Source organism: Homo sapiens, chromosome 9, assembly GCF_000001405.40.
Source record: "Homo sapiens chromosome 9, GRCh38.p14 Primary Assembly".
Taxonomy (NCBI): domain Eukaryota; kingdom Metazoa; phylum Chordata; class Mammalia; order Primates; family Hominidae; genus Homo; species Homo sapiens.
Genome location: NC_000009.12, coordinates 96,086,589 through 96,106,128, shown reverse-complemented (window position 1 = coordinate 96,106,128; position 19,540 = coordinate 96,086,589). Strand labels below are relative to the sequence as shown.

Below are 19,540 nucleotides of genomic sequence, written 5' to 3'. Positions count from 1 at the left end.
TTTAAGCTCGGGATTTCTGCACTACAGTAAGCTATGATCGTGCCACTGCACTCCAGCCTGGGTGAAAGAGCGAGACCCTGTCTCAATTTTTTTTTTTTCTGAAGAACTAGTGTCTGGAAGCTCCCCAAATTTACTGATAGATATTTGTCTGTAGTTTTCTTTTCTTGTAATGTCTTTTTCTGCTTTTGGTACTAGGATAATGCTAGCGTCATCGAATGAGTTAGAAAGTATTCCCTTTTCATCTATCTTCTGAAAGAGCTTATAAGGGAATTGGTATAGTTTCTTCCTGAAGTGTTGGTGGAATTCACCAATGAACTCATCTGGGCCTGGTACTTTCTGTTTTAGAAGGTTATTAATTATTGATTCAATTTCTTTAATAAATATAAGCCTATTCAGATTGTCTATTTCTTCTTGTGTGAGTTTTTCTAGATTGCATCCTTCAAAATATTGGTCTATTTCATCTAAGTTATCAGATTTTTGGGCATAGAACTGTTCATAGTATTCCCAAGTTTATTGAAAAGCAATAACCTACACATCCAGAAAGCTCAACAAACTTCAAGTAAGATAAATAAAAGCAAAGAGATACTAAACAGCCACATCATAGTACAAATGCTGAATTAAAGATACAGAGAAAATCTTGAAAGGAGCAAGAGAAAAATTACTCTAAAAAAAAAAAAAAAAAAAAAAAAACTATAAACCAAGAATTCTATATCCAGCAAAGCTTTCTTTTAAAAATGAAGGCAAAATACAGACTTTCCCAGATAAACAAAATGTGAGAGAATTTGCTGCTAGCAGACCTGCCTTACAGAAAATAGTAAAAGAAGTTTTTCAGGCTGAGAAAAAATGACCCCAAAATGTAATCTGAATTCACATGCAACAAACAAACACCACAGGTAACTCTGTAATTATAAAAGATAGTTTAAACACAAATTTTTTTCCCTTCTCTTAACTGATTTTAAAAGTTAGTATAAAATAATATGTATATAATATATTTTGGGGTCTATAATGTATAAATATGTAGGATATACATATTTACCAGTAATGCACAAAGGAGGTGGGAGAAAGCAAAGCTCTATTGAACTAAGAAAGTGAAGATAGATGGTAAAATAATAATTATAAAAATGTATTGTTGGGTTTGTAACATTAATAGATCTAATATGTACAATAATGATTCTGCAACAAAGATGGGAGAAAAGGGAATATAGCTATATAAGCATAATGTTTCTACATATCATTGGAATAAAGCTACTAATAGTATAAATCAGAAGTTGATTCTGATAAGATGTATAGGGTAAACTCAGAGCAACCATTAAAAAAACTAAAATAATATAGTGAAACAAATCAGTAAAGAAGATAAAATGCTACATTCAAAGATATTCACTTAATACAAAAGAAGAGTAAAGGGAGAATAGAGGAACAAAAAAGATATGAGACATATAGAACATAAAAAGCAAAATGTCAGACATAAATTTAATTATATCAATAATAACATTAAAATGTGAATGAACAATCCAATCAAAATAAAGAAATTGTCACACTAGAATAAAAAAGACGTGATCCAACTATATGCTGTCTACAGGAGACACACATTAGATTCAAAGATACAAACAGACTGAACATAAAAGCAAGGAAAAAAGATGTATTATGCAAACAACCACCACATAAAAGCTAGAGTGGCTATACTGATATCAGACAAAATAGACTCTAAAGCAAAAACTGTTATTAGAGATAAAGAAGGATATTTTATAATGATAAAAGATCAACTCATCAGGAAGATATAACAATTATGAACATAAATCCACTTAATAATGTACTAAAATTCATGAAGGAAAAACAGAAAGAAATGAAGGGAGAAATAGCCAATTCAACAATAATAATTGTAGACTTTAATACCCCAATTTCAATAAGGGATAGAACAACTAGACAAATGATCAACAAAGAAATAAAGGACCTAAACAACACTATAAACAAATGATACCTAACAGATATCTATAGAACGCTCCACCAAACAACAACAGAATCTGCATTCTTCTCAAATGCACATGGCATGGTTTCCATGATAGGCCATGTGCTAGGCCATAAAACAAACAAGTAAATTTAGAAGACCGAAATAATACAAAAGTATGTCCTGTGACTGCAGTGAAATGAAAGTAGAAATCAAAGTAGAGAGTAGAAAGAATTTGGGAAACTCGTAGATAAGTGGAAATAAAACAACACGCTCCCAAATAACCAGCAGGTCAAAGAAGTCAAAAGGGAAATCTGAAAAGAGTCTGAGATGAATGAAAATCAAGACACAATATACCATAACTTTTGGTATTCAGTGAAAGCAGTGCTTAGAGGGAACTTTATAGCTGTAATGCCTATATTAAGAAAGAAGGCCGAGCACAGTGGCTCACACCTGTAATCTCAGCACTTTGGGAGGCTGAGGTGGGAGGATTGCTTGAAGCAAGGAGTTTGAGGCCATACTGGGCGACACAATGAGACCCTGTCTTTACAACAAAATAAAAATAAAAATTAGCTGGGCCTTGTGGTGCATGCTAGTAGTCCTAGCTACTTGGGAGGCTGAGGTGGGAGGATTGCTTGAGCCAAGGTTGAGGCTACAGTGAGCTATGATTGTGCCACTGCACTCCAGTGTGGGTGACAGAGCAAGACCCTGTACCCAAAAAAGAAAAGAAAAGGAAAGAAAAAGGAAGGCCGGGTGCAGTGGCTTATGCTTCATGCCTATAATTTCATCACTTTGGGAAGCCAAGGTAGGAGGATCACCTGACACTGGGATTTCAAGATCCGCCTGGGCAACATAGTGAGACCTTGTTTTTACTAAATAAATAAATAATTTAATGTAAAGAAAAAAGAAGAAAGATTTGAAACCAATAACCTAAACTTCCACCTTCCAACATTAGAGAAAGAAGAGCTAAACCTACAAGAAGCAGAAAAAGAAAATAATAAAGATTAGAGGCTGGTCCGATGGTAGTAGGTTATCAGAACTTATTAACATTAGTGCCACTGAAGCTGGTCTACTATCCCCTGCTCTTAAATCTGACTGGCTTTACAATTTTGTAGATTAATGGCTGCCTAGAATTGGGGACTGGGAGTGCTGGAGGTCATGGTTAAAGAGTTTCGAGTTCTTTTTGAGGTGATTAAAATGTTCTGAAATTGACTGTGATGATACATGCTTCTGTTCACAGATACACATATCTGTGAATATACTTAAGCCCCCTGAATTGTACACTTGAAATGAGTGAATTGTACCATATGTGGGCATTGGAGGGCATCCATAGTTTGGATGTCCCCTCCAAATCTCATGTTGAAATGTGATCTCCAGCGTTGGAGGTGGGGCCTGGTGGGAGGTGACTGGATCAAGGGGTGGACCCCTTACAAATGGCTTAGTGGCATCCCCTTGTTGGTGAGTGAGTTCTCACTTAGTTCACATGAGATCTGGTTGGTTGAATGAGTCTGGGTCCCCTCCTTCTCTCCCTCTCTCTCTCTTTTTTTTTTTTTTTTGAGACAAAGTCTCACTCTGCTGTAGCCCAGGCTGGAGTGCAGTGGCGTGATCTCAGCTCACCACAACCTCCGCCTCCTGGGTTTAAGCGATTTTCCTGCCTCAACCTCCAGAGTAGCTGGGTTTACAGGTGTGCACCACTGCACCCGGCTAATTTTTTGTATTTTTATTAGAGACGGGGTTTCACCATGTTGGCCAGGCTGGTCTTGAACTCCCGACCTCAGGTAATCTGCCCGCCTCGGCCTCCCAAAGTGCTAGGATTACAGGCATGAGTCACCATGCCCGGCCTCCTTCTTCTCCTTCTGTCTTGCTAACACTTCTGCCTGCTTCCCCCTGGCCTTCTGTCATGATTGGAAGCTTCCTGAGGCCTCACCAGAAGCAGATGCTGGTGCCATGCTTCTGGTACAGCCTGCAGAACCATGAGCCAAACAATCCTCTTTTCTTGTAAGTTTCCCAGCCTCAGGTATTCCTTTACAGCAACACCAGAACGGAACTGTATCTTAACTAGTGAACTATATCTTACCTATATCTCAATTAAGCTGTTAAAAAAGCTAACAACAAACTACCCAGAGTGAAAACACAGCTCAGCACCAGAACTCCAGCCATTTAAGGCATCTTCTCACAATAGGGGTGTTACTGGAAAGGGGTCCTGATCCACACCCCAATAGAGGGTTCTTGGATCTCTCACAAGAAAGAATTCGGGGCGAGTCCATAGAATAAAGTGAAAGCAAGTTTATTGAGAAAGTAAAGGAATAAAAGAATGGCCACTCCATAGGCAGAGGAGCCCCAAGGGCTCCTGGTTGCCCATTTTTATGGTTATTTCTTGATGATATGCTAAACAAGGGGTGGATTATTCATGCCTCCCCTTTATAGACCGTACAGGTAACTTCCAGACGTTGCTATGGCATCTGTAAACTGTCATGGCGCTGATGGGAGTGTAGCAGTGAGGACGACCAGAGTCACTCTCGTCACCATCTTGGTTTTGGTGGGTTTTGGCCGGCTTCTTTACTGCAACCTGTTTTATCAGCAAGGTCTTTGTGATCTGTATCTTGTGCCGACCTCCTATCTCATCCTGTGACTTAGAATGCCTAATCTCCTGAGAATGCAGCCCAGTAGGTCTCAGCCTCATTTTACCCAGCCCCTATACAAGAGAGAGTCAATCTGGTTTAAACACCTCTGACAGAGGCAGGCCAACCTGCAGCAACTATGTGCAAAGTCCCTATAAGTTGAAGGATGGCTTGAGATAGGAGAGGGGGCTGCTTTAATGCCTCTTTCTTTTATGGAGTGCACTCAAGATGATTTGGGGCGTCCCACCTACCTTCTTCCCCTTGTTTTCCTCCTATTCTGTTATTCTTTTTCAACTCAGCTGCATAAAACCTGAAGCAGGGTATCCACTGGGACTAGAATAGTCATGGTGCTGAGGCCTGGGGAAGTAGAAACATATCTTCTATTTGTCTGCCTGAAGAGAGTTCTGAGCAGGAGCTGGTTGTATTGATGGGGGCTCCCGTCAGGCCTGGCAGAGAACAGAAGAGCATGTTGGACCCTTTCCCGTTACCCTCAGACTCTCCCATAATCTATAAGCTCTGTGGTTTATTTGTTCTTTAAAACCCTTTCTTTTTTTCCCCTTTTCGTTTTGCTTTATATAATGCACATTTATGTCATAATAGAGCCTGATTTTCTACAATGGGCTTTTTTGTGTGCTTTCGATTCAAACATAAAAAGCTCTACTTAAATGTAACAAACAAATTCCCAGCCATCATTGTGCCAAATAATGCACAAACCTCAAACACACTTGGACTGGAAGGCACTTCCTGTTCCCCCTGCTGAAGCCACGCACCCCTCCCCCAGCCTCACTGAGGAGCCTTGCAGACAGGAGCCTGTTTGTCACTATTTTGAGTATGAATCAGGTTGCTGTTGGGTGTTAGCCTGTCTCGGGACCCCCAGCCCTGCATCTGGACATGTCACTGATTTGCTTGCAAGCTGATTCTGTTTAGAGCATTTTCTGTGCTGTGGGCAGGATTCCCCACCTCACTGCCCACGTGCTGGGGGTGGGGGCCTGGGGAGGATACAGCAAAGTGGAGAGCCCGCCTCACCCGCACACTGTTCCTTTCTGGGCACCGCGGCTGGTTCTCATCTGCAGGCATTCACCCTCTGCCACAGAACCTGCCTTGGCCACCTCAGTTCACAGGTGACTCCTGGCCTGGGGCAGCCTCTAGGGGGTCTCCCTGTGTGCCCTCGCATTGCTGGTTAGCTTCATTAGGAGACGAGTTTGTGGGTCCACCTTCCCAGGCCTTCGCTGGCCCTCTCCCGCCCTTCTCTGCTCTGCCTCCACCAGCCTGCTGCAAATCCATTGTGGATTCCTGGAAGGTAGAGTCCAAATATTAAAAGTCTTTATAGTCACATGGTAGCCCCTCTTCTAGCCCCCAAGACCATATCTTTCAACCTATTTACATAAGAAACCCTTCTCTTTGCAAAGTCCATCCCCACCCGTTTCTGGGAATGCCATGGGGATGGCTCATCGGTGCCCATGGAAAGCCTCCATCCAATCCCCATCCACCAAGCACTCCTCTCTCATTACCTCTGCTGTGTCCACAGGGCCTCACTCCCTCTTCCTCTCCACTGTTCGGGATGCTCTTTTCCAGGCTGTGAGAGAATTTTACCAAATTGGGCTGTATTTCCTTTTGTTCTTACTGCACGCGAGTCAGAATGTTATGCGCCAGTACATGGAATGTCTGGTCCATCAGCTGAGCCCACACGCTATTCACATATAGGCACACCCGACGGGGTACAGCTTAGGCTGAGAAACAAATGGGCCCCCAAATATGACAGCTTAAACCAGGGAAGAGTTTCTCTCTTCTCTAAAGGTAGGAGGATTCGTGGTGGGGCTGTTCGGCTGGTTCCATGGTACCCAGGCCCTGCCTCCTTTTCTCCGTGACTCTGCCGTCCCTTACAGATGTGTTTCTCACACAATCTGGAGTACGACTGTCATTATTTCTAGTATCATTTAAATTTCCAATCGATCTCAGACCCCTATGTAGCTTTATTGGGCTTAAAAAGTGCCTGACTCATGCCCAGGCCTGGTCAATATATTGAGGTGGGTCCACAGATCATGTGCTTGAAGGTCAAGGCAATATCAAGGTACTATGAAAGTTTATCAAAGCTGACCCAATTTCTGTCCTTCTCTCCTCACACACTGGGAGCGAGGTTCATACAGTAGCTCCTGTGTGCAGGGCAGATTGTGTGCAGAACCGCCCTGAAATGACACCTCTTCCATGCAGCTGAAGGTGCTCACCACCATGCCCGTGGCGTCCACAGAACCTATAGTGCCACAGTGTCCACTGCAGCAATTTTCTGGCAAGTGGGATGGAGAGGAGCGCAAGACCTGCTCCTTCCCTGCGTGGGCCATCTTCCTGAGCACACGTCTCTTCTACCCACATCCCATCAGCCAGGATTTGCCCACACACCACATGGAGCTGCAGGGGTGGTGGGAAAGGAAAGTCTTTATTTTGGGCAGCTACACAGCCAGGTAAATTTCAGGGGTTCTGTTGCTAAAGAAAGAAGGGAAGAATGAATGTTAGGAGATGTGATACTAAATGTAAAACTACCCCAAGTCCCGTTGGTCAAATTCATAGGCAGTGCAGAGGCTCCTGCCGGCTTCCTTGCTTGGTCCAGATGCTCTAGGGCTTCCGCGTTAGCTTGGCTGAAGGAGCAGGAACTAAGCTGCATGCACACAGAGATGAAGAACTTCCTGGGCAGGGCAGAGTACAGGTCTCCTTAGCAATGGGTGCCTGTGCACTGCTGCTGCTGGTGGCCCTTGAAACACTGACCAGTGGGCATCACTATCCCCAGCAACGGCATGTTCCCAGTGAGGCACTTTGCTCTCCTCTGTGTCACTGACCAGCCCCTTTGTCAATTCTCTATCATAGCAGACACCAGACTGTACCCTTTGTTTCATTTGTTTTTGAGGCAGAATCTTGCTATCACCTATGCTGGAGTGCAGTGGCGTGACCCTGCTCACTGCAGCCTTGGCCTCCTGGGCTCAAGTGATTCTCCCACCTCAGCCTCTGAAGTATCAGGGACCACAGGCGTGCACCACAATGTCTGGCTAATTTGCTTATTTATTTATTTTTTTAGAGATGGGGTCTTCCTATGTCAGCCAGGCTAGTATTGAACTCCTAGCCTCAAGCGGTCCTCCTGCCTTGGCCTCCCAAAGTGCTGGAATTACAGGTGTGAGCCACCGTGCCCCACCTCGGACTGTATCTTTTTATAAGAATAGGCTGAAGTTTGGCCAGGCGCGGTGGCTCACGCCTGTAATCCCAGCACTTTTGGAGGCCGAGGCGGGCGGATCACAAGGTCAGGAGATTGAGACCATCCTGGCTGACACTGTGAAACCCCGTCTCTACTAAAAATACAAAAAATTAGCCGGGCGTGGTGGCGGGCACCTTTAGTCCCAGCTACTCGGGAGGCTGAGGCAGGAGAATGGTGTGAACCCAGGAGGCGGAGCTTGCAGTGAGCCTCTGAGATAGCGCCACTGCACTCCAGCCCGGGCAACAGAGCGACACTCCGCCTCAAAAAAAAAAAAAAAAGAATAGGCTGAAGTTTGAGAAGCGCAGGATGGAAATACGGCACAGAGGAGAATTCACAGGAAATGCATAGTCCAGCCCCTTCTAGGAGTCCTCACCAGGAGCGCTCTCTTCCTGCTGTGGGAAGTGCTCTGAGCATTGCTGCACTGCAAACTCTGGGCAGAAATGACCCTGAGGCTCCGGGGAGGAGGAAGCACATAATCCCATCTCTAAGCTCCACTTCCAGACCCCCCGTTTCTCATACTAGAACCTCCCGCTTCCCAGGGCAGTGACCATATCTATTCCTTATGGAACCATCCACAGGGTGTGGTATTAGCCCACAGTCCCAATAGTAATTACATAATTGTCAGACAGAACATTCCCCAGGTCTGGGCTATTAAGTTGTAAGCACCATCGCATGAAAGACAGATCAGCCCAGCCCAGGTAGGGCTAAAACGATTGCAGTCCAGCTTTTATATAGCATCAATTATTCAATCCAGTTATTCACTCACCACCTTAGCCATATTAGAAATAAAAGGAATGCCTTCCTTTCTTTCCAAAGGACTCAGATTTAAGCCACAGCTGTTGGCTGGCAAACCAGACCCCCGCGTCGTTTCTTCCATTTCTCTAACTCGATACAGGATCTTCATCAATTAGGACGGGTTTCACTGCAAGTCAAGCCTCTAGTAGTCAGAGATTCTAAGGTTGGCCTGATCCTGAAGACAGAGGGAGGCTCCGTGTAAGAGGTCACAGGAAGCTATACAATAGCCCTGGGTTATAAATTCATGTTCTGGATTGGCTTCTGGCAGTCCTGTCTGCCTAATTTATGATGACAATTTCTCAGACTCAGGACTAGTGAGCAGAGATGGAATTACCTAGGAAGGGGCTGATATCCTTCTGCACCCATGACTTTTATACCCAGAGCACACTCTTGAAACTGCTTCTGCCTTCTAAAGCAGTAGCTTCCCAACCCAATTCATTAGAAACTTGTGAGACCACCTTGGAGAATCCTATAACTAAAAAGCCATGTTCTGCAAAAGGGCAGTCCTGAGTTGTGCCTAACTTCATGTGGGATTTTGTTGTTTTCATGACACCAGTGCAATAAAAGGGCCCATCTCTTAATAACGTAAAAATCAGTGATGGTAATGTTCATAGCGGGGTTTTACACTAGATGGCAATGAAATCCTCAGCGCATCTGCAGCTCCCTGCTCTTCTGTCCCTGGAATCTCCAGTGTTTATTTTATGTGAAGGAGGAACCAACACAGAACTTCTTGAACCCTTTATGTGGTTGAAATTGGGCCTTCTCTTCTATTAGGTAGTGTGTGTCTATATCACGTTCTTGTTCCTATGCCAGAAAAGCTTGACACGTTTTATTATTCATGGCATTACCTTGCTGTTTGAACTCGGAATTTCTTTGCCTGGAATCTCAAGTGTAATGAAATAGCAGGAAAATGTTCCAACCTTTGGTGGTGAAGCCTTCAGGTGAAAGAAATGGAGAAAAGAAAGGTGGAAGAGTAGAGACGGTAGGTCCTAGGAAGGAAGCCTTTTCTGTTTTCAGCAGAAATGTCACTGTGCCATGTGATGAAAGAGGAGGCCTCCGTGAGGCCCAGGGTGCGACACCTGGCAGGGAGCCCTGGTTCTTTTCTTCTCTGAAAACCCTCAACTTTTACAAATTAGAGTCTGGGCTTACAAGGCCATGGCCTTTGAGTTTCAAGTGTCTATTCAGAACTGAAAATCCAAGAATTTGATTTTTTGGTCTCTGTCTTTGGGTCCGTTCACCCAACCATGAGTGACCAAGGGTAAGGAGGGCCACACAGCAGCTTCTATGTGAGGATATAATTCTCTATCTCAGAAAGTTGTACCAGCATCCTGAGCTATAAATACCGGACAGTTCTAGATATGAGAAAATTCTATGGTGGTCACATTTTCTGACCCAGAAATGACACTGTTCTCTTCCTTATGGTGTGAGCACACTGAAAATTCCAATTTATATTTTATCACTGTATTAGTCCATTCTCAAGCTGCTACAAAGAACTGCCCAAGACTGAGCAATTTATAAAGGAAAGAGGTTCAATTGACTCACAGGTCTACAGGGCTGGGGAGGCCTCAGGAAACTTACAATCATGATGGAAGGGGAAGCAAACATGTCCTTCTTCACATGGTGGCAGGAAGGAGAAGTGCTGAGCAAAGGGGGAAATGTCGCTTATAAAATCATCAGATCTCATGAGAACTCACTCATTATCACGAGAACAGCAGCATGGGGGTAATTGCCCCCCATGATTCAGTTGCCTTCACCTGGTACCACCCTTGATACATGGGGATTATTATAATTCAAGGTAAGATTTGGGTGGGGATACAGCCAAACCATTTCAGGGAGAGCCAAACCGTGTCAATCACGTATCAACCTCTGAGGAAGACAGGGAGGAGAAGGAGGCACATGATAATGATGAGACTATTTTTGTCCCATTGGGAGATATAACAAGTGTATCTAGTGAAGAAGAAGAGGAGGAGGAGGAGGAGGGGAAGGAAGGAGGGGAAAGAAGGAGGAGGAGGAGAGAGATGATGGTCACTGGTGTTGGGGGAGGTGCCATATCCTGTAAGTAATGGCGCCAGGGCCTTGCTGATGGCAGGGAACATGGGACTCTGGCCATGAACACTTCCCTGGAGGAGCTGGGCATTTGCGCTACACGGAGGGTGAGGTTGGGTGAATTCAATCCCAGGGAGACACGACCTCAGCCTGCATTTATACACTCACACTTCTCAGGCTTCTCAGAGGAGCCACCTCTATTCTCCCAACATCCTCATGCCCTAAAAGGCTCAGCTAGACCTTTCCAGGGTCCCAGTGAGCACCCAGCAGTGAGGGCAGGACTGGCAGCGTGGGTCAGGGGGTGCAACAGTGAGCAGTGCCTCCTGCACCCCCCGTATTTGGAAACGTGAGGGGACACGTTCAGTTGTCACACTGTGGGCTATAGTTGAGAAGCGCCTCCTGAATCAGCGCTGAGGGCAGATGGTGGCAGCGTGCACGTGCACAAGCTCCTTCCCACGCAGAGTGCCATTCGGAAAACTTCCTCTGTGGAAAGAAATGGGGAGAGTTTGGATGGAGCCCATGGCGCATGGACGTCATGCACGTTGGCTTCCCCGTGTTCCAGGTTGTGGGATGAAACCAGCAGTGCCTGACTCACAAGCAGAAGGCAGAGGTTGGAAGGGGCAGAAAATGGTCTCACTTTCTGCCCTTTCAAAGCTTGTGAGCTCTCATTTTGAATCCTGAGTTAAATGGATGTTCTGCAATTCGGTAAAACAATCAAGTGACTTCTGCAGGGGGTACATGAGAGGGGTGATGAGTGTGCTCCCCCCGCCTCCAGACCTGGGCTGCAGAGCCAAGCAACACTGCCTCTCCATCTCATGAGTGTGACTGAGGTGAGTGACTTTTAATTCCTCTGTGCCTCAGTTTCCTCTCCTGTGTGTTATGAAAGTATTTCCTCCTACAAGGTGAGACTCCCTGGGAAGTCTCACCCAGAAATGGAACTCACTACTTTATCACCACCCCAGGGAGCCGGTACAGCCTAGAGATAAGAGTGGGGGAGGAGCGGGGCCTTTGCTTTCTCGTCTGTGAAAGCGGGTGGCTAATAGCCCTCTCAAAGGTGAGGTGGGAACCAGTGAGCTGAAACATGAAAAGTGGGGCTCCAAGATATTACCTGACGCTCTGGGGCCTCGAGAAAATCCAAAGCCACAGGTTGTAGCAGGCAGCACAGATTTCATTCTAGGTTTCTTGGAGACAAGAGAATGTGGTTAAGTGATATGCCACAAGGCAGTCTCCTCATTAGCCATGTCTGTCCTCGCCTTGACATTTCCCTTAGGCTGCCATCCGTGGGAACCTCCCCTCCACCATGTTTGCCTATCTTGAATATTACTGTTACTATTATGGAAGTTTTATTTGGGATAATAGTGAACAGTCTTAGCAACACTATTTTAACAGGAGGCAGGGCTTGTTTAAAAGCAATCTGGCAGCACTTTTATTATTATTATTATTATTATTTTCACTCTGCAACCTCCACCTCCTGGGTTCAAGTGATCTTCCTGCCTCAACCTCCCAAGTAGCTGGGATTACAGACACATGCCACCATTTTTGTATTTTTAGTAGAGACGTGGTGTCACTATGTTGGCCAGGCTGGCCTCAAACTCCTGAGCTCAAGTGATCTGCCCGCCCAAAGTGTTGGGATTACAGGCATGAGCACCATGCCCGGCTAGGCAGCACTTACGAACACACGAAGCCCGCATGCAGCAATTCTGCTTCTACCTGCTCACGGGTCATGGGGGTCATGTCCCCCTCAACTGTGTGCTTCATTGCAGCACACTCTAGAGGAGAGGGGGACTGCATGTGAGAGGTGCCTGAAGCAGAGCGGTTTACGGCACTTAAAGGCAACAGACGAGGTGTACTGCCAGCAAGGAAGGTGATCTTGTAGCAGTTCAGAGTGAAAAGGCAGAAGCCAAACGCAGTCTAGAGCCTGTCACTGTAAGTGAGGGTGGGCGCCAGTGGCACAGGCAGAAATGCAGATTCTGCCTCCACCTCCTGAATCTGAATCTGCGGACAGGATGCCCAGGTGGGCACATTGAAGATGGGGAAGTGCCGTCTGTGGCACACAAAGCAGTGGCATTCTCCCTACAGCCACACATCAATACCTTAAGTCTTTGCCTTTGTGGGAAGGGTAGTGGGAGAGAACAGGGGAAAATGTTAATGAAGTTAAAACTCAGGCAAGAACTACACGGAGGCAGCACATATGTTTTCTCATGGTGAGCAAGGTTCTTGCAGGCACCTTCTACAAGAAAGATTGCTGAAGATATGGACAAGTTTACCAACAGCCCGTGTCTCATCCTCCCTCCCAGGCCTCAAGCCCCAAAGGTAACCTGTGATCCAAGAACAAGCCTGGGTCCAGGGTCCCAGCCCTTTCAATCCACTGCTTGCTGTTCCCACCTTGGGTAAGAGTCCCTCACTGTGCATTTGCTGCAGTACTCATTAAGGCAAAGCGCTTGCACATGAAGTCCTGTGGAAAAAAAGGAGGGGCATTTAAGGCCTAACCTTTGCTAGATGCAAACATAAGAAGGGAAGACTTTTTCATCAAACATTGATTCCCAGTCAAAGCAAAATTCCAGAGATTGTGAAGGGTGAAATAGATTAGTATTAAGCTGAAAATAATTTTGGGTTCCGTATTTCAGTACTCTGCCATTTGCTTACAGTATGTCTGTTGCCTTAATATAGTTACTTCAAAGCACTGGATGGTGAGTTAAGAAGGAACAATTAGTAACAGAAGCCTGGTTTTAAAAAAATGTCTTGGGGAGTCAGGGTGGAGGTGGGGAGATGGGATAATCCCAGACCACTTCAATAGTTCCCAGAATATCTACATGAACTCCTCATTTATGGAGCTGGAAATGTCCATTGCAAGATACTGCTTTTTGGCATCCTTTTCCTTTCTCTCTCTTCTTTTCTTTCTTGTTTTTTGAACTCTTCAGCTCAGAGTCAGGAAAACGCTGGCATGATAATATGCTACCATTGGCAGTTGTCCTTCCAAGATGGTTTATGCAGGAAACATCATGGAAGCAACTTTGCAAACCCGAGGCCTACATCTGCCCGGCCACCCTTCAGCTGTGGGGCCAGTAATAAAATGCTATGGCAGCGATGGGTGAGACAGGGTCATCATAAACAGGAGAGAAGCAGCAACCTTTTAGAAAGGAAACAGAAAGTTAAGGCATTGAGTAGCACTGAGCCTGGGCAAAGGCACTCAGATCCCTGTTGGCAGCAGAGAGGAGGTGGCTGGGGGCTACTGCCCACTGATGAGGAGAAAACCTTTTACGGAAACTCATGAGGTCCTCATTGTCACTGAGTATTATTATTACTGCTCTACAGATGGGTTACAAATGAGTGACGGGAATTTATATAATCCAAGAGCACTAATTTCTCCAAACACATTGCTTGGGTATAGTAAAAAGTCTCCAAAATATCCAAATGTGTACATATATATTTGTGATTATCTTATCCTGTTCATGCTGCTATAACTAAATACCTTAGACTGGGTAATTTATAAATATTAGGAACTGATTTTTGGATTCTGGAGGCTGGGAAGTCCAAGGTCAAGGCACTAGAGATCCAGTGTCTGGTAAGGGCTGCTCTCTGCTTCCAAGATGGCACCTCTAGTGCATCCTCACACCATGGAGGGTGAAGGGGCATGAATGCTGTGTCCTCACATGGTGGGAGAGAGGGAAGGGCAAAGAGGAACTAGGGCTCACCAACTTTTTTGTAAGAGCGTTAATCCATTCCTCAGAGTGGGGCCCTCATGACTTAATCACTTTCCCAAAAGTCCCACCTCTTAATACTACCACATTGGGTATTAAGTTCCAACATGGGAATTTTTGAGACACGAACATTTAAACCATAGCAGTGATCCTTGGAATTCTGTACTTGTTACCATTAATCTGTAAAATGCACAAAGTATCTCTCCTGTTTATCTTGTGGTGGTTCTAGAAGGATCAAAAGTAAAAGTAAAAAGGGTGTGCAAATACAGTGTCTACCACAAGAAACAAGCATAAGATATTTGTGCCAATAAAAGATATATTTGATGCTGTATTGATTCCTCTCACCTGAAACCCTTAGAGGGAGGCCACCTTCCTCCTGATGGCTCCATTTCTAGGTGTTCCAATGCTCTTCCCTCTCTTTTCTGTCCAGAACCTTCAATTACTCTATACAACTACAGTGAATGCTTCTAGGAGATAGGGGTTTCCAAATGCTAGCCCCAGAGCCTCTGCTCTGGAGGTGAAGTTTTCATGGTCCTTGGCAAAACATTAAAAAGCTCAGCATCACTGATCATTAGAGAAATGCAAATCAAAACCACAATGAGATACCATCTAACACCAGTCAGAATGGCTTGATTAAAAAAAAAAAATAACAGAAGATGGCAAGGTTGTGGAGAAAGAGGAACACTTACACTCTGTTGGTGGGGTGTAAATTAGTCCAGCCATTGTGGAAGACAGTGTGGTGATTCCACAAAGGCCCAGAGACAGAAATACCATTTAACTCAGCAATCCCATTACTAAAGGAATATAAATCATTCTATTATAAAGACACATGCATGTATCATGTTCATTGCAGCACTAGTCACAATAGAAAAGACATGGAATCAACCTAATGCCCATCAATGATAGATTAGATAAAGAAAATGTTGTTCCTCTACACCCTGGAATACTATGCAGCCATAAAAAAGAATGAGATCATGTCCTTTGCAGGAACACAGATGGAGCTGGAGGTCATTATCCTTAGGAAACTAACACAGGAACTGAAAACGAAATACTGCATATCCTCACTTATAAGTGGGAGCTAAATGATGAGAACACATGGACACATAGAGGAGAACAACACACATTGGGCCTTTTCGGAGGGTGGAGGGTGAGAGGAGGGAGAGGATCAGGAAAAATAACTAATAGGTACTAGGCTTAATACCTGAGTGATGAAATAATCTGTTCAACAAACCCCCAAGACACAAGTTTACCTATGTAACAAACCTGTACCCCTGAACTTAAAATAAAAGTTAAAAATAAAATAAAATAAAAATAAAGGCAGTGATGTGCATTTTTCCCACCAAGCCAAATTTACTCAACTGAAAAAATTGTCATTGATTCTGAGACTGTCTTTCTTTTACTGGTGTTAAAATATCATTCTAACATGATTTGGTGTGAGAATGATAGGGCCCATAGATGCTAGGTTTCTTTTTTTTTTTTTTTCCTTAATGTGCTCACTTGGAAAAATTACAAGTTGGCCATCTTATATAGGTGCTCCAGTTCTTTTATTTTAAAATTTTGATTGGCCTGTGAAATTTCACAGCCTGGGAATCACTGCTGAATGTTCCATTGCTTACTTTCCCAAGGCCTGAGGTGTGCCTTCAGGAAACGATGATAAAGACACACTAGAAGCTTTATCCAAGAGCCTGATGAAGAGGAACATGGGCTGGGTGTCTCTGACTTAGGAATGTGCCTTCCCAGAACTTCGGCAAGGGCATCTGTAGCTGGCACCAGCAAGAGCGACAGAGCTCCATGGGCAGCCACCCCACCAAAGCTCAGGGGGCGCCGGCTGTGTCCTGCTGCTCTGGGGCACAGTCTTTCCCCAGAATCCTTAGTTAAAGCTAACAGAAAGTAACCTTTGAACGGCCACTAGGGGTGATTCAAGCTACACTTTGCTCAACAGGTATAGTGCCCATTAATGAGAGCTTGGTGGGAGGGCTCAGAGCACCTATGGCAATTTACAGAGTTGTTTCTGAGGAAAAATGTATTCTGAGTACCAGGTTGCTAAATTAAAATTAAAGTCTTGGAGTGTTTCAAACATTCTTGGATGGGCTGGAACCCATCCAAGAGGCTCAGCTGAATCCAGTAACAACAAGAGCACTTCCCTAGTGGGTCTTGTGCTTTACAGTCCTGGTGATCCCCATGGAAGAGGGTTGAAAGAGCTGGGTTCTAGAACTTCCAGGTCCTCTGTGTAGCCACCAGCCTCATGTGGCCATCAAGCACTTGAAATGTGGCTGGTCCAAGCAGTGATGGGCACTAAGTGTAAAATACACACTGGCTTTCAAATATGTAAAAAAAAAAAAAAAGAAAAGAAAAAAGAATGTAAAATATTGATTACATTTTGAAATATTTTGGGTATATTGTGTTTATAAATACAGTATTAATTTCACTTAATTTTACTTTTAAAATTTGGCTAGAAAATGTTAAATTATACATGTGGCTCACATTTGTGGCTTGCATTGTTTCTACTGGACAGCACTCCTTTAGACCACATATAGGAAAACTACGGCCCCCAGGCGAAATCTAGCTGATCTGGGAATATTGTAAATAAAGTTTTATCGGAACACAGCACACAAATTTGTTCACATACTGTCTCTGGCTGCTTTTGAACTACAACAGCAGAGCTGAGTAGCTGTCACAGAGACTATATGGCCCACAAAGCCTAAAATATCTACCATCTGACTTTTTATTGAAAAAGTTTGTCCACATTTGGTCTAGACTATCAAGGTTCAAATCCTGGTTTCCTACTTAAGCTGTGTGACTTGGGCAAGGGCCTTTCTCTGTAAGTGCCTCCACTCCTCATGTGTTAAATGGGGATAATGATAAAGCAGACCTCCCCCCAGGGGTTCTCGTGAGGAATGAATGAAATACTACATAGCAGCCATGGAGTAAATGTTGAACAGATGCATCATCCTCATATCATCATCATCGTCATCATCATTATCATGAAATCTCATTGTCATCATATCATCATCATCGTTATCATTGTCATCTCATCAAATCTCATTGTCATCATATATCATCATCGTCATCATTATCATTGTCATCATCTCATCATCAAATCTCATTGTCATCATCATATCATCATCATTGTCATCATCTTATCATCATCTCATCATTGTCATCATCATCACTATCATCATCAATTCAGAGCACATGACTGGGCTCCAAGAGTTATCTGTGGTCCCTGGCCACAGTCACTTAGTTGGTAGGCAAAGAAAGTGAGGTTTCAAATTCTTGTGTTCTATCTCATATTTTATTATTTCATCCTAAGGCCCTTAGGAATTTGCAGCCGTTTTCAATGCACAACATATGGATAAAGAGCAATATGTCTCTGGTATAAGAAAACAACAGAGCAAATACAATCATAAACAGCAACTGATACTCAGCCTTTGGTATCAGAGAGCCAGAGGAAAGGGAGGGCCTGCCCAGGCATTTGTTGCCAGGAGGGAATGGAAGCCTACCATCTCCAGACGACCTTCCAGTTTCCAAAAGAAGGCTGAAGTATAAATTTCCATGTGAAATCTGCTTTTCCCAATGTAAGCCCAACCTTTAAAATCATTTTGCATGGGACAAATTGACCCGTGAGCTTCTAGTTTTCAACACCTGCTTCACACTATTCCTGGGATGGCTCATCTTTTATGTGAAACACCTGTTGGCAAGATAGTCATGGGCAACTCATTCATCAGAGAACGGCACTGCTTCATGGTTGGTAAGAGAGGGAGGAAAGAAGAACAAGTTAATTATCGGGGGCTGGGGAGTCACCAGGGGAAAAGGCATTTCTGTCATTTATTTACTAGTATTTACTCACAGAGCAATAAATCAAAGTCACTGGCCCGCCAGGAGCAGCGGGAGTGTCGGCAGCCCAGCCGTGCCAGTCAGAATGCTCTTTCTTATGTGATGCGCATCTGGGGAGGGCTGGCTTCCAATTATCTCATGCAGCTCTTATCAGATTCCAGAGAAGAGAAGACAAAAGGAGGGGAGGACAGCCACAGTCACTTGAGAGATGCGCTGCTATCTGGAACAGGATGGAAGGAACAGGGCAGGCAAGGGAAGCCCCTGCTGGAGGAGCCCCCAGAATCAGCCCACCTGAGGGCTGATCCATCCACTTGGGCAGGAGGCTGTTCCACCCCTGCCCAGCCCAACTCCCGAGGCCAAGGCCTTTTCTCACCATGGGAACCAAACAGCATTCAGTTCAGCAATGGTAGAAAAAAAAAATCCTTCTTGTAGTATAATGAAGAGATACTCACGTTGCAGAGCTCCAGAAACAGACCTTGGCTGTGGTGGGTGATGGAGACAGCGTGTTGAAGTCCGCACCTCGGCCACGCTGTACACACCCAGCGATTCCCTGAGTGTGAGGCCCCAGGCGACTGCTGCCTTTTGATGGGTGGCCCGAGGGGGCAAAAGCCGTCCTGGGAACCACACCCCTCCAAGGCTCTGCTCAGGGCACTCCGGGGGGTCAGTAGGAGCCAGGGGTCTCCCCTTGCCTGCCATGCCCCCTTCCTCATAGTATCTGTGTGTGCCTGCGCCAGGGGTAGGTGTTGAGTTTGCTCGTTCATTCATTCAGCAAATACTTATTGAGCGCCTTAAGGAACCAGGGCTTTCCCAGCCTCGGGGCACACAGCGCTTTCTTGGAGATGTCTTGGGCTCTCCTTGCAGGACTTTAGACCTCAAAGCTGAGGGGGATGGGCCGTAGGTCAGGGAGACACCCAGCTCCTCTGTGACTGCTGGGTAGGTGACAGACAGGGCTTTCCATCCCAGTATCCTCAGGGGGTCATATTTTCAAATGCAAAAAAGAGTTAAATTTTAGAAACATGTTTTTTTCTCACCTCCACTTCCAGGTGAAAGAGGCAGTCCGGGAGATACAGTTTCGGTAATGAAAATGGTATTTTCCTAATAATTTTGATGGTTCATGAGGACTGCTGGTTAGGGTATTGGAAATTAGGACTCCATAACACATTCCATGTGGGGTAAAATACACGTGGGATGAACATTAGAAACATGGAAATATGAGGGAGTGAGAATTGTAACTCTGGGGATAGAATGCTTATTTCTGAGGTGTGTGTAGCAGTAAAAAGGAGGATATTCATTGCTGGATGGGAAGATGCATTTATTTTGCATATGAGCATTAGTAGAAGTAATTAATAACTAA

The 19,540-nt window shown here is 44.7% G+C and overlaps 1 long non-coding RNA gene across 1 annotated transcript in view, besides 1 other annotated feature; it reads right to left on the bottom strand.

The window, feature by feature from the left end:
* Positions 1–4,216: 4,216 nt before the first annotated feature.
* The window catches only part of LOC158435 (uncharacterized), a 36,074-nt gene continuing 20,750 nt past the window's right edge, over positions 4,217–19,540 (bottom strand). The window contains exons 2-9 of the long non-coding RNA NR_033838.1: positions 13,034–13,103; positions 11,757–11,829; positions 10,817–11,131; positions 8,574–8,777; positions 6,078–7,047; positions 5,593–5,859; positions 4,818–5,012; positions 4,217–4,514 (exon numbers count right to left, since the gene is read on the bottom strand). This is a non-coding gene — a long non-coding RNA (uncharacterized LOC158435). The remainder of the gene's footprint in view (positions 4,515–4,817; positions 5,013–5,592; positions 5,860–6,077; positions 7,048–8,573; positions 8,778–10,816; positions 11,132–11,756; positions 11,830–13,033; positions 13,104–19,540) is intronic.
* Positions 17,022–18,221: an enhancer, noted in NCBI's record as "BRD4-independent group 4 enhancer chr9:98850190-98851389 (GRCh37/hg19 assembly coordinates)". NCBI's record gives its function as "activates an origin of replication core promoter dependent on BRD2, P300/CBP, MED14 and CDK7 cofactors, and independent of BRD4, by STARR-seq in HCT116 cells {active_cell/tissue: HCT116}" and the evidence as "EXISTENCE:reporter gene assay evidence [ECO:0000049][PMID:35650434]".